This window comes from Homo sapiens, chromosome 11, assembly GCF_000001405.40.
Source record: "Homo sapiens chromosome 11, GRCh38.p14 Primary Assembly".
NCBI classification, from domain to species: domain Eukaryota; kingdom Metazoa; phylum Chordata; class Mammalia; order Primates; family Hominidae; genus Homo; species Homo sapiens.
In genome coordinates this window covers 64408193-64422850 of record NC_000011.10, presented here as the reverse complement: position 1 = coordinate 64422850, position 14658 = coordinate 64408193, and the positions used below count along the sequence as shown (strand labels likewise).

Below are 14658 nucleotides of genomic sequence, written 5' to 3'. Positions count from 1 at the left end.
ATGAAGGTGCCAGGACTTTCTGGTTCTGAAAATTCCCATTTTCTACAGATGGCAAACAATGCTAAATTTAAGAAATAGTTTCTGGGAAAAGATCAAATCCAGGACAATATCAGGAAAACATAGTCTAATGATGAAGCTAGAGGAGTGATTATAAGCTCTTGTATTATATCTTCAGAAAATGTAAAGGGTGCTTCAGAGAATCATTCATAATAAGGTTCCTAAGAAGTTTAAAGATATTCCTCAGCAGTGTCAGCAGAATGCCAAGGTAGAGACAGGCTTATCTCAAAGAGACTTGTTAAATAGAGCAAACCTCAAAAAGATTCATAGGGGACCCAAAAGGGCTTTACAAGAATTGTATTGGCAGAAGCACTGCTAGTTTGGACTGAAAGAAACAGACACAATACAAAATAAAAAGAAGACTTTGGACTTCTTTTCTATAGGTAAGAAGAAAGCTAAGAAAACCAATCATCTGCTAAGATAAGCCACCTTTCATGAAAAAGAAAAGGTGACTCAGCCCCCAGACAAAGCCAACAGTCCCTAGGGCAGAGCCAAGAGCCAAGGAGAATTATTTCCAGCCCTGAAGTCCTAGTGTAGTAACTTCCAATGTGTGGTCTGCTAGATTTAAGAATTGCTATGTGCTAGTGACTCCTGTGTGCCTCCTTTTATTTTTTTTCTAAACAGGGCCTCACTATGTTGCCCAGGCTGGCCTTGAACTCCTGGACTTAAGTGGTCCTCCTGCCTCTGCCTCTCGAGTAGCTGGGTCTACAGGCACACACCACCACAAACAGCTCTATGTGCCTCTCTTCTCGAATTGGGAATGTCTATAATGGTTATCTTATGCTTCTCACACTGTTGTATGTTGCAGGGTACAGAGATACAGAGATACAGATAACTGCCTCTTTAGTTCACATGTCTTCAGATCAAGCAAAACTATTCTCAAGAGCTGTACTTGAGGAGCCTTACCCTAGAAGCCTCATCTGAACCTGATTTAGATGATGAGATTCTGGACTTTGAGCTTTAATAAGATGAGAATTTTGGAGGCTGTGGGAGGAGGTAAGAGTATTTACATGTGGAAAGGATATAATTTATTGGGGGCCAGAGGGTGAGCTATGATAGACTGCCTCCTACATGGCCCCATATGATATCCCCTCCTGCTATTTACACCTTTATTTAGTCCCTTCCCACATCGAATAGGGAAGACCTGTGTAGCCAGTAGGATATTGTAGAAATGATAGTGTGTGCCTTCTGAAGCTTTAAAGACATTGTGGCTTCTGTCTTGTTCTTTCCAGGATTACTTGCTCTGGAGGAATTCAGCCACCATATTGTGAGGACACTCAAGCAGCCCTGTGGATAAGCCACATGGTGAGGAAGTGAGGCCTCCTGCTAACAGCCAGTCCCAATTCCCCGTCTATGTCAGTGACTCATCCTGGAATCAGAGCCTTTTGGCAGTGGAGCCTATAAATGGCTGCAGCTCTGATCAATAACTTGGCTACAATCTCATGAGAAACCTCAAATCTGAGCCATCCTGCTAAGTAAACCATTCCAGAATTACTGCCCCACAGACACTATGTGAGATAATAAATGTTTATTGTTGCTTTAAGCCACTAAGTTTTTTAATAAACTTTTTTAATAGAGATGAGGTCTTGCTCCATTGCCCAGGCTCATCTCAAACTCCTGAGCTCAAGCCATCCTCCCACCTCAGTCTCCCAAAGTGCTGGGATTACAGGTGAGAGCCACCACACCCAGACTGTTTTTTAATAATTTGTTATGCAGCAATAGATAGGTAATACAAATGGTCATCCATTCTTTATTTAAATCCTTCCAGGATCAGAGAATTCATCTATTCATTCATTCAACAAACAGTTTAATAACTGTTGGTATCTACTCTGTGCTGGCCAAATAGTTACCACCCCTCCCTGTGGGAGCATGGTATCTCCCTAAGCCCATCAAGTCTGAAGACATATTTGATCATGTGATTCTCTGTGGCCAATAAAATGTGAACAGAGGGATATAAGCCACTTCTGAGCAGAGGCTTTAAAGTCATTTCTCAGTTCTGCCATCACTCTTTTTCCTGTGCCTCAAAACCAGCAGTTTCATAGCTGATCTTTCAGCCTGAATCCTAGAATGAAAAAAACATAGAACAGGCTCACACCTACTGCAGGCAATGTGCAACATTAATAAGAACAACCCTTTTTATTATAATTATTATAAGCCACTGAGTTTGGTACCTGTTTGTTACTTGGCATAACCCAGCAAAAGCTGACTGATACAGTCACACTGCATCCAGACCTGGTGGGATGACTTTTTTATCTGAGTCTTCTTTATCCTGGCTTTCCTCCTCAGAATGCTTCCTGGTTCCTAATTGTTTCTCAAAAATGTGCCTCCCAGGAGTCAACATGATGGAGTCTGATCAGCCCAGGGCATGTTGGCCTTCCTTTCCAAGACCTGGCTGTCAAACACTCACAACATGGCTCCTTGAGACTTGGGAAACTTTGTTGCCTGGCAGCCTCACAGCCTGGAACACAGAGCTTCCCACATACAGCTAGAGAAGAATGCCTCCAGGGACCAAAATGACGTCATGAGTCCACATTCTAAAGCTTGAGAACTTGTCCCTGAGGACAGATTTCTAACCTCCTTAGAACCTAATTAGGCTTCCCAACCTGCAATCTAACGAGCTTGGTGATGTGGCTGCCAAGTTTACAGCAGATTCAAAGGTATGAATTAAAGATAAATCAAAATGCCAGGCAACCCAGCAGAATCGACGAAACAAACAAGAGTTGGCTGAGCGCCAAATGGTGTCAGGCACGACCCATCTCACAACCATCTGTAAAATAGGTATTAATGTGCCCATTTTACAGGAAAGGAAACTGAGGCTCAGATAGGTCACTAATTTGACAAAGGTCACAAGCTTGTCAATAAGGATTCAAATGGGCATATGGTAGAGACGATATGAATGGCAGCTCCTGGTGCTGATTTTGGCATTGGTGCTGGTTGAAGGGAAGGCAGAGCCAGCGGGGAGGAAGAAAACCATGAGATGGGAGGGTAGGGGGAGATTTTCAGTGGAACAAGGACCCAAGTGGAGAAGGGATGAGCCCCGGGGTATGGAAGAGTGGGGTACAGGGGAGGAGGGAGCACCTGGGAGCCCAGGGAACCCTGGAAAACCATCCCCACCTCAGAGAGGGCCTTCCTTAGGGCAGGCCATCCCTCGCTGTGCTCCCCAGAAGGCCAAGCCCTAGCCTGGGTGACATGACCTGGCCACTGCACTGCACTGCCTTCCCGGGCTCACACAGCGCCAGGCTCTCACAGGACCATTTGTTGAGCTCTAGGAGTCTGGACCGATTGGCACATATGTATGGACCAGGACAACATCCAGTGCCAGGTTTATTGCTGCCAAGCCAGAATGGAGACTGCTTATGCCCATGGAAATGAACTTGCCAGTGCCGGCCCAGGCACAAGAGCTGGACAACTGCCCCTGGTGGGGGCTGCCCCTTGGAAGAGAGCAGAGGTGCAGCTGGCAGACAGGAGGGCCGAAGAGAGACGGACGGAAGCAGCTAGTGATCCCCTGCTCGGGACCCTGCTTCTGTCCAAGATCGCCTGGGTCCCGTTTCCTCCCGAGGAGGGCACAGAGAGAGCCCCAGGCATTCCTTCACCTGTTCTCTCCAGGGAGGCCCAGAGGCTGCACATTCCCCTCAGGACAGACAAGTGTCCGGCCCAGCACTGCGTGTGGGCACAGACAGGAGGAGGAGTTGGGGCACCAGCATTCTCCATCCAGACACCTGACTAAGACCAGGACCACCTGGCATTTTGGAAACCTTGATGAACACCTTCCCAGGGTTTATCTAAATTATTCTTTTTAACTTTTATTGTGGTGAAATATGTATATCGTAAAATTTATCATTTTAGCCATTCTTAAGTATACAGTCCAGTGACATTAAGTGCATTGTTGTGTGACCATCCCCACCATTCAGCTCCAGAACTTTTTCATCTTCCCAACCAGAACTCCACACTAACCCCCCATTTGCCCCTCCCCCAGCCCCTGGCACCCACCATTCCACTCTCTGACTCTATGCATCTCACTCCAGGTGCCTCCTATAAGTGGAATCCTACAGTATCTGTCCTTTCATAACTGGCTCGTTGCACTTAGCACGAGATCCTGAATGTCTATCCACGCGTAGCATGTGTCAGAATTTCCTTCCTTTTTAAGGCAGAGCAATATTCCACTGTATGGATAGGCCACATTTTGCTTAGCCATTCATCTGTTGATATGGTTTGGCTGTGTCCCCACCCAAATCTCATCGTGAATTGTAGCTCCCATAATTCCCACTTGCGGGAGGGACTCAGTGAGGAAATAGTTGAATCATGGGGGCGGTTTCCTCTGTGCTGTTCTCGTGGTATTGAATAAGTCTCATGAGATCTGATGGTTTTATAAGGGGAAACCCCTTTTGCTTTGTTCTCATTTCTCTCTCTTCCTTGCCGCCACATAAGACATGACTTTGCTCCTCCTTGCCTTCCACCATGATTGTGAGGCCTCCCCAGCCATGTGGAACTGTGAGTCAATTAAACTTCTTTCCTTTATAAGTTAACCAGTCTTAATTAGCTGGGCGTGGTGGCGGGCACCTGTAATCCCAGCTACTCAGGAGGCTGAGGCAGGAGAATTGCTTGAACCCGGGAGGCAGAGGTTGCAGTGAGCCGAGATTGAGCTGTTGTACTCCAGCCTGGGCAACAAGAGCAAAATTCCATCTCAAAAAAAAAAAAAAAAAAAAAAAAAGTTAACCAATCTAAGGCATGTGTTTATCAGCAGCATGAAAACTGACTAATACATCTGTCAATGGACAACTGCACTGTTTCCACCTCTTGCCTATTGTGAAGAATGCTGCTAGGAACATGGGTGTACAAATCTCTTCAACGTCTTGCTTTCCATTGTTTTAGGTATATACTCAGAAATGGAATTACTGGATTATATGGTAGTTCTATGTTTAATTATTTGAGGAACCACTATACCATTTTCCAAAGCAAATTCATCATTTTACACTTTCCCCTGAAGGGCACACAGTTACCAAAGTCTCCACATCCACGCCAACATGTGCTGTTTTTTTTTTTTATTATAGGCATCTGACTGGGTGTGAAGTGGTATCTGGCTGTGGTTTTCATTTGTGTCCTAATGATTAGCGATGCTGGGCATCTTTTCATGTGCTTTCATGTTTTTCTTTGGAGAAATGTCTATTCAAGTCCTTTGCCCATTCTTTAATTCATTTGTTTTTCATTGTTGAGTTGTAGGAGTTCCTTATACATTTTGGATATTAACTCCCTATCAGGCTGGGCGCATTGGCTCACACCTGTAATCCTAGCACTTTGGGAGGCTGAGGCGGGTGGATCACCTGAGGTCAGGAGTTCAAGACCAGCCTGGCCAACATGGCAAAATCCCGTCTCTACTAAAAATACAAAAGTTACTCGGGTGTGGTGGTGCTACTCAGGAGGCTGAGGCAAGAGAATCACTTTAACCTGGGAGCTGGAGGTTGCAGTGAGCCAAGATCACACCACTGCACTCCAGCCTGGGTAACAGAGCAGGACCCTGTCTCAAAAAAAAAAAAGTGTCTGTTGATGCACAAAATATTTAATATTAACAAAGTTCCATTTATCTATTTTTTTTCTTTTGTTGCCTGTGCTTTTGGTATCAAAACCAAGACGTCATTGCAAAATCCAATGTCATGCAGCTTTTCCCCTATGTTTTCTTCTAAGAGTTTTATAGTTTTAGCTCTATGTTTAGGTCTTTGGTCCATTTTAAGTTAATTTTTGTCTATGGTATAAGGTAAGGGTTCAACTTCATTATTTTGCATGTAGATATCCAATTTCTCAGAACCAATTGTTGAGTAAATCATTCTTTTTTTTTCTTTTTGTGAGATGGAGTCTTGCTCTGTCACGCAGGCTGGAGTGCAGTGGCACTCACTGCAATCTCCACCTCCCGGGTTCAAGCAATCATCCTACCTCGGCCTCCCGAGTAGCTAGGATTACGGATGTGCACTACCATGCCCAGCTAATTTTTTTGTATTTTTAGTAGAGATAGGGTTTCACCATGTTGGCCAGGCTGGTCTAGAACTCCTGGCCTTAAGTGATCCACCCACCTTGGCCTCCCAAAGTGCTGGGATTATAGGCGTGAGCCACCGCGCCCAGCCTCATTCTTTATAATTTACTTAAACACAGATAAACACAAAAGCTATGATTGTTGTTCTTACAGAACTGTAAGCCAATACAAATTAAACACAAAACAAACGACCAGTAAAATTCAAACAGCACTAAATTAACATAAGTGATGATGTCATTTTGCTGAAACTAAGTCCCCCATTACTCAGCAGTGGCACAGTGGGTTTGGTGGGTTGTTCCACCGGGGTTCTCCATTGGAACCATGGCCAGAATGCATCTGTCCGTGGTAGCCTGCCTCTGTTCTGCTGAGACAAACACAAACACCTGTGACCACGAACCCACGTGGCAGTGTGCACTCACACATGTGTGACCAGGAACCCACATGGCAGTGTGCACTCACACCTGTGATCATGAACCCACATGGCAGTGTGCACTCACACCTGTGGCCACAAACCCACATGGCAGTGTGCACTCACACCTGTGGCCACGAACCCTCATGGCAGTGTGCACTCACACCTGTGTGACCACAAACCCACATGGCAGTGTGCACTCACACCTGTGTGACCACAAACCCACATGGCAGTGTGCACTCACACCTGTGATCATGAAACCACATGGCAGTGTGCACTCACACCTGTGATCATGAAACCACATGGCAGTGTGCACTCACAACTGTGACCATGAACCCACATGGCAGTGTGCACTCACACCTCTGACCACCAACCCACATGGCAGTGTGCACTGACACGTGTGATCACGAACCCACGGGGCAATGTGCACTCATATGTAGTCATCCGGGTGGACCAGCATCAAGCATTTAAGTTATCAGTGACATGAAACTCCCAAAACTATTCTTGTAAGGGAATTGAAGGTGTTGAAAATATGCCTGAGGCCCTCGGGGAGCCCAGGTTAGAAACCCTGAGTTAGGCAGATGTAGCACACAGGCCTTCTAGAATGAATTAGGCGCACAGTGGCTTTTCCACGGCGTTAAAGGGTTCCGTTTACAAATGTAAACAATTGTCCTTACGGTTACATAGCTGTGCCCTGCAGATTATGTGTGCGTAAGACACAGCTGTCTTTTCAACATCTCGATTCCTGAGCTAACTTCAAATGGGCCACTGTAACGCTTCCCGGCAAGCATGCTGCACCCCTGGGCCCACGCTCCCCTCCCACCTCCTCCCCTCTCCTCAGACCCCTATCTTCCTCCCCCACTCCCCTCAGAGCTGGTGCATCCTTTTAAGCTAAGAACTTCCTCCACCCCCACAGCACATCTGCCCCTCCCCCAGGCTCCAGGGCATCGGTCAGGCATCCCGTCAGCTCTGCGTCCTCCCTGCTTACATCTTAAACTCTCTTCATCTCACTCCTTTTTCAAATGCCATCTTATTTCCCTCCTTCCCTTGACAGCAAAGGCCCCGAAGCCTCTGAAGAGCAGTCTCTCCCCTTTCCACTCACACACTTCCTGTCCTCTCGCAAAGCCCACTCAAGGCAGGCTTGCAGCCCAAACTGCCCTTGTCAAGGTCACCTTGCTCTGCCAAGTCAGCTGTCAGCTCTGTGGTACTCAATCACCAGAGCATAGGACCCAGGTGCTCACCCTCCCTTCTTTGAAACACTCCCTCCAGGGCCTCCAGGGGCCTCGTGCACCTGGTCTTCTCCCCACTCTTGCCCCATCTTCCTCCTCATGGGCCGGCCTGTACTGTGGGTGTGCCCGACTCACGCTTGCACCTCGTGGATCACATCCAAGTTCATACCTCTAGCCCAGGCCTCCCCCGAACCCCCTGAGTCACAGCCAACTACAGTTGTGTTACAGGAAGGGGGTCCTGATGCAAACCCCAAGAGAGGGTTCTTGGATCTCATGCAAGAAAGAATTCAGGGTGAGTCCGTAAAGTGAAAGCAAGTTTATTAAGAAAGTAGAGGAATAGGCCAGGCGTGGTGGCTCACGCCTGTCATCCCAGCACTCTGGGAGGCCGAGGCAGGCGAATCACGACGTCAGGAGTTCAAGACCAGCCTGGCCAACATGGTGAAACCCCGTCTCTACTAAAAATACAAAAAATTGGCCAGGCGCAGTGGTTCACGCCTGTAATCCCAGCACTTTGGGAGGCCGAGGTGGGTGGATCACCTGAGGTCAGGGGTTCGAGACCAGCCTGGCCAACATGGTGAAACCCCATCTCTACTAAAAATACAAAAATTAGGTCGGGGGCAGTGGCTCATGCCTGTAATCCCAGCACTTTGGGAGACCGAGGCGGGCAGTTCACCTGAGGTCAGGAGTGTGAAACCAGCCTGGCCAACATGTTGAAATCCGTTTCTACTAAAAATACAAAAAATTAGCTGGGCATGGTGGCATGCACCTGTAGTCCCAGCTACTCGGGACGCTGAGGCAGGAGAATCGCTTGAACCTGGGAGGTGGAAGTTGCCATGAACCGAGATCGCGCCACTGCACTCCAGCTTGGCCAACAGAGTGAGACTCCGTCTCAAAAAAACAAGAAAAAAAAGAAAAATTAGCCAGGTATGGTGGCGGGCACCTGTAATCCCAGCTACTTGGGGGGCTGAGGCAGGAGAATCACTTAAACCTGGGAGGTGGATGTTGCAGTGAGCCAAGATCACGCCACTGCACTCCAGCCTGGGCGACACAGCGAGACTCCGTCTCAAAAAAAAAAAAAAATGTCGTGGAATAAAATAATGGCTACTCTATAGACAGAGCAGCCCCAAGGGCTGCTGGTTGCCTATTTTTATGGTTATTTCTTGATGATCTACTAAACAAGGGATGGATTATTCATGCCTCCCCTTTTTAGACCATATAGGGTAACTTCCTGACATTGCCATGGCATCTGTAAACTGTCGTGGCGCTGATAGGATTGGAGCAGTGAGGACAACCAGAGGTCACTGTTGTGGTCATCTTGGTTTTGGTGGGTTTTAGCCAGCTTCTTTAGTGCAACCTGTTTTATCAGCAAGGTCTTCAGGACCTGTATCTTGTGCTGACCCCTATCTCATCCTGTGACTTAGAGTGCCTTAACTGTCTGGGAATGCAGCTCAGGAGGTTTCAGCCTCATTTTACACAGCTCCTATTCAACATGGAGTCGCTCTGGTTCACAGGCCTCCAACAGTTGGACCTCTCCATTTGGGGACATCAAACTCAGCCTGTCAAACCGACCTCCTCTCCCTCCACGTTCCCCATCTTGCTTCTTTGCAGCTCCATCCTTCCTCTGGTTGCTCAGGTTAAGCCCCTTGGCTCCACAAATGGCCAAGAAGCACATGAAAAGATGCTCACCATCATTAGTCATTAGGGACTGCAAATCTAACCTGCAATGAGATACCACCGCCCACCCTCCAGGATGGCTATAATTTAAAAAAACACACACAGACAATAGCAAGTGTTGGCGGGGATATGGAAAAAGAGGAACCCTTGTACCTTGCTGATGGGAATGTCAAATGGTACTGCTGCTGTGGAGAACAGCTTGGCCGTTCCTCGCAAAGTTAAGCATGGAATTACTATACCATCCTACAGTTTTACTCCTGTGTATACATACCCCAAAGAATTGAAAACAGGTGTTCAGGCCAGGCACAGTGGCTCAAGCCTGTAACCCCAGCACTTTGGGAGGCTGAGGTAGGGCAATCACTTGAGCCTAGGGGTTCGAGACCAGCCTGGGCAACATGGCAAAACTCTGTCTGTACAAAAAATTAAAAAACTAGCCAGGTGTGTTGGCACATGTCCATGGTTTCAGCTCTCAAGAGGCTGAGGTAAAAGAATCACCTGGGGGCTGGGCTCGATGGCTCACGCCTGTAATCCCAGCACTTTGGGAGGCTGAAGTGGCCGGTCACCTGAGGTCAGGAGTTCAAGACCAGCCTGACCAACCTAGAGAAACCCCCGTCTCTACTAAAAATACAAAATTAGCCGGGAGTGGTGGCACATGCCTGTAATCCCAGCTACTCGGGAGGCTGAAGCAGAAGAATCGCTTGAACCTGGGAGGCGGAGGTTGTGATGAGCCAAGATCGTGCCATTGCACTCCAGCCTGGGCAACAGGAGCGAAACTCAAAAAAAAAAAAAAAAAAGAATCACTTGGGTCGGGAGGTGGAGGCTGCAGTGAGCTGAGATCATGCTACTGCACCCCAGCCTGTGCAACAGAAAGAGACCCTGTCTCAAAATAAATAAATAAGTAAATAAAAGGGAAAAAAACAGGTGTTCAAAGAGAAACTTGTACATGAATGTTCACAGCAGCACTATTCACAGTAGCTAAAACATGGAAACAACACCCATCTCCATGGATAGATGAATGACTAAACAAATGTGGTCTAGCCATACAGTGGAATATTATTCAGCCTTAAAAAGGAAGGAAATTGACACATGCTACCACATAGCTGAAATTTGAAGACATTATGCTAAGTGATTTACCAGAATAGGTAAATCCATAGAGACAGAAAGCAGATTCATGCTTGTCAGGGGCTCCGGGAGGGGGAAGAAGGAGTGACTGTTTAATGCATACAAAGTTTTCCTTTCAGGCTGATGGAAATGTTTGGGGATGAGACAGAGGCGATGATGGAACAACACTGTGAAGGTACTAAATACCTCTGAATACACTCTAAAATGGTTAAATTAACATTATGTGAATTTTACCCGAATAAATAAACCAACTAATCAGCCTTGGCTCTTCCTTGGCTTCTCTCCCACTCCCATACATCCCACCTGTCAGTCAATCCCATCAGCTTTGCACTCAAAATATATACAAATATACCCAGAATCTAGGTTGGGTGCGGTGGCTCACACCTGTAATCCCAACATTTTAGGAGGCTGAGGCGGGCGGATCACCTGAGGTCAGGAGTTGGAGACCAGCCTGGCCAAGGTGGTGAAACCCTGTCTCTACTAAAAATACAAAAATTAGCAGAGCATGGTGGCAAGCGCCTATAATCCCAGATACTTGGGAGCCTGAGGCAAGAGAACTGCTTGAACTCGGGAGGCGAAGGTTGCAGTGAGCCGAGATCTTGCACTCCAGCCTGGGTGACAGAGCAAGACTCCGTCTCAAAAATAAATAAATAAAAATTTAAAAATTAAAAAAAAAAGACACACACACACACACACACACAATTTGTCACTTACCACCACCTCGCTGCCTCCATGCCAGTCTTAGCCACTGTCACCTCCCAACAGAGGACAGCAGGAGCCTGCTGACCAGCCTCCCAGTCCAGTTCCGACCCTCAGAGGCCTGCGTTCCTCGAGGCAGCCAGGGGGATCCTGTTAAATCGAAAGTCAGGTCCCATCTCCCGCCCTGCCCCTGCTTTAAACCTCCCCAAGCAGCATCGCATCGTGGTCAAAGCCAAAGTCCTTCCTACAACCCACCAGGCCACTGTGTTCCCCCACCTTGTCCCCACTGTGATCCTGGGTTCTCTCTCTCTCTCTGGCCACCCACTGGCCTCCTGCTGCCCCCACATACCTGCTACCCCCAGCTCTTTGTTGGATCTCCTGTCCTGACATCTGTGGGCTTACTGCTCACTTCCTCATGCCTTTAGGCCTCCTTGGCTGGTCCTTCCTGAAGTTTCAGCTCCATCCCAACACTCCCACCCCTTCCTTGATGTAGTCTTGCCTAGCATATGGCATATTTTATTCCTTAGGCTTGTATCTATGGACTGACTCCTACCCCAAAATATAAGCTCCATGAGGGTGGGACTTTTCCCTTTTTTGTTCCTTGCTATGTCCTCATTGTGTGGGACAGTGCCCAGCATAGAGAACATGCCTAAGAAATATCTGACAAATGAATGGATTCCAATTCACCTAAGCCCATGTATTTGTATTTGCTTTGCAGAGGTGGGTGTGCATGTGTGCGTGTGTGTACACATGCATGTGTCAGACAGGCATCCATCCTATCCAGGAGATAGGAAACCAAGAATGCAAAGACAACTCAGCAGATCTGCTGGCATGGAGGCGAGGCTGCATGGAAGGATCTGGATTGGATAGGAGTGTCCCATTCAGGACATGTGTCACTCAAAACCACACAACTCAGACTTGGGGAATATTCTATGCCAGTCACATCTGTTTACAACACGTGTGGCATCTCCTGTGGACGGAGTTGACAGTCTCATCCTGAGATAGGCAGAGCCTGGCGTGGAAGTGAGAGCCTTCATCTGGGATGAGACAGCAGGAGGCAGGGAGGGGACACACTGGGGGACATCACGTGGGGCCAGGCAGTGTCCACCCAGCTCTGGCACAGCCTGAGAGTCATCACTTCCTCAGTTTTCACACCCTGGGCACCTCCACCTCGCCTGCCTCCCCCGACCCCGGCCCCATGGCCAGACCTTTCTTCCACATAATTCCCAGGAGTGCTATATGCATGAACCAAGCTAAGGTGTCAATCTCGTTTCAGAACCACAGCACGGCTCCCCATAAAAGTCATCTTTATGGACAGATATTTCATGGCGGCAGCTTGAGAAGGCTCACGTTTCTTAGGCAGCTGGTGCAGAGCCAGGAGAGCTAATCATGAGATCTTCCAGTCCCAGGACGTGGGCTGCAGCTGGCGGCTGTGGTCGTCTTATATCAAACTCTCAAGAGTCACAGGGCAGCAGCATTGGCCCCCTCCCAAGTCATTCCAGATGGGATTTAAGGTGGCTTAATGAGCATTCATAAAATACAGCAAGAGAACATAAACTGAAAAGGGTGTGCAAGAAGAAATCAAATGGGAACTACATGAAATGAGCCAGAGACAGGAGGGAGGGGGAAGAAGAGGGAGGGGGAAGAACAGGCGGGAGGGGGATGAACAGGGAGGGGCCCCCTAAGCCACTGGAAAGTGTGGCAAGACTTCCCGGAGCCGGACAGAGCAGATTCTTGAGGGGTGCGCAGGAGTCTCGTAGGCCAGGATGGAGAGGAAGGGCCTGTAGGCAGAAGACTGGTGTGTGCAAAGGAACCAGAGAGAGAAGGAGGCGGGGAGGGGAGAGGGGGTGCCGGGAGGAGGGAGAGGAAGCTCAGTAGTTGTGGGGGATAGCGAGGGGGATTGGGGAATGAACTGTTTCCCGCAAATGCCTCAGCCATAGTTGAAAGGATTCCCACTCCCTTCCCCACTCACAAAGTCCTGGTGCCCTTGGCCCGGCTGCGCAGGCCCTCATTCCCTGAGCTCCCAAGAGGTGCAGTGATTTATCCGATGCGAAGCGCGAAGCTCGGGAGTCCGACTGCACCCGGAGGTGGTGGGGGCGGGGGGACGGAGGGGCGGAGGGGCAAGAGTACTACAAGAAAAGGCCGGGGCCTGCTCTCTGCTCTCTCCTCTCTCTGGACCTGCCTGAGCCCCAGGGGCACGGTCTGCACCATCTGCCTGTGAACAGGAGCGCTTAATTCAGAGTGGCCGGCAGAGACCCTGGGTCCGATGATCCAGAAGTCTGACATCGAGCTTCTGCTCATTAGCCGCAACCCTCCCCTGGGTCCTGGAATCTGTTCTCAGGTGACCGTGGAGGAGGCGATGCTGAGTGATCAACACCTCGGATCTCCAGCTGTCGGTGCAATGACCAAGAAGGCCTTGGTGAATGTTAAAGAAACAATTATTCCATGACATTGGTAAAGCATGGCCGAGCCAACTTTATCCAGGACCGTGGAGATTGATACAGGGACCCCCACAATAAGATCTTGCGGTAGGGGAGAGAGATTAGGCTCCACTCTGAATATAGCACAGGCAAGTAGGAATTTATGGCCAAGGAGTGTGGGGGTCAGTGGATGGAAAATTACCAAGGGGTAGGGGAGATTCTGCTTAACCCGACCTAACAGGATTCTTGCTGACACAGGCCAGGGTTCTTTCGCTAAAACTGGATTTTTTTTTTTTTTTTTTTGAGACGGAATCTCACTCTGTGGCCCAGGCTGAAGTGCAGGGGCATGATCTCAGCTCACTGCAACCTCCATCTCCCGGGTTCAAGTGATTCTCCTGCCTCAGCCTCCCAAGTAGCTGGGATTACAGGCATGCACCACCACGCCCAGCCAACTTTTGTATTTTTTTGGTGGAGACAGGGTTTCACCATGTTGCAAGCTGGTCTCGAACTTCTGACCTCAAGTGATCCGCCCACCTCAGCCTCTTAGAGTGCTGGGATTACAGGCGTGAGCCACCGCGCCTGGCCTAGAACTGCATTTTACAAGGAAGTGCACAGATGGGCCTAGCAGAAGATTCAGAAGCCTGACTAAAGTTTGGCCGAGCAAAGAATCTTTATCTGTAACTCTCATTCAATGACCAAGACGCCCTTTAGGAGCTCTTGGAAGAGCCCTCATGATGGGGTGAGTGTCCTTATATGGAGAGATCGGGGCCAGGCGAGGTGGCTCACACCTGTAATCCCAACACTTTGGGAGGCCATGGTGGGAGAATCACTTCAGCCCAGGAGTTCGAGACCAGCCTGGGCAACATGGCAAGACCCTAACTCTACAAAAAAATTTTTAAATTAGCCTGGTGTGGTGGTGTGCACCTAGCTATTTGGAGGCTGAGGAGGGAGGCTCACTTGAGGCTGGGAGGTTGAGGCAGCAGTGAGCCGTGATCTTGCCACCACTGCACTCCAGCCTGGGCT

At 48.6% G+C, this 14658-nt stretch overlaps 2 long non-coding RNA genes across 3 annotated transcripts, besides 2 other annotated features; one reads left to right on the top strand and one right to left on the bottom strand.

Moving 5' to 3' along the window:
* Nucleotides 1-1780: 1780 nt before the first annotated feature.
* Nucleotides 1781-4715, bottom strand: LOC124902689 (uncharacterized). The gene is made up of 2 exons (XR_007062720.1): nt 2229-4715; nt 1781-2119 (listed from the first exon to the last, which is right to left on the bottom strand). It is a non-coding gene; the product is annotated as an uncharacterized LOC124902689 (long non-coding RNA).
* On the top strand, nt 2636-12773 carry LOC105369341 (uncharacterized). Of its 2 annotated transcripts, XR_001748069.2 has the most exons (4): nt 2636-2714; nt 4486-4548; nt 10636-10691; nt 11934-12773. It is a non-coding gene; the product is annotated as an uncharacterized LOC105369341 (long non-coding RNA). The 2 variants fall into 2 exon arrangements; XR_950196.2 differs by lacking the exon at nt 4486-4548 and having other exon boundaries at nt 2646-2714; nt 11934-12733.
* Nucleotides 6154-6654: an enhancer, noted in NCBI's record as "H3K4me1 hESC enhancer chr11:64183669-64184169 (GRCh37/hg19 assembly coordinates)". NCBI's record gives its function as "activates a minimal SCP1, AML or CMV promoter by ChIP-STARR-seq in primed H9 embryonic stem cells {active_cell/tissue: H9 hESC(primed)}" and the evidence as "EXISTENCE:reporter gene assay evidence [ECO:0000049][PMID:30033119]".
* Nucleotides 6655-7155: an enhancer, noted in NCBI's record as "H3K4me1 hESC enhancer chr11:64183168-64183668 (GRCh37/hg19 assembly coordinates)". NCBI's record gives its function as "activates a minimal SCP1, AML or CMV promoter by ChIP-STARR-seq in primed H9 embryonic stem cells {active_cell/tissue: H9 hESC(primed)}" and the evidence as "EXISTENCE:reporter gene assay evidence [ECO:0000049][PMID:30033119]".
* Nucleotides 12774-14658: the final 1885 nt, after the last annotated feature.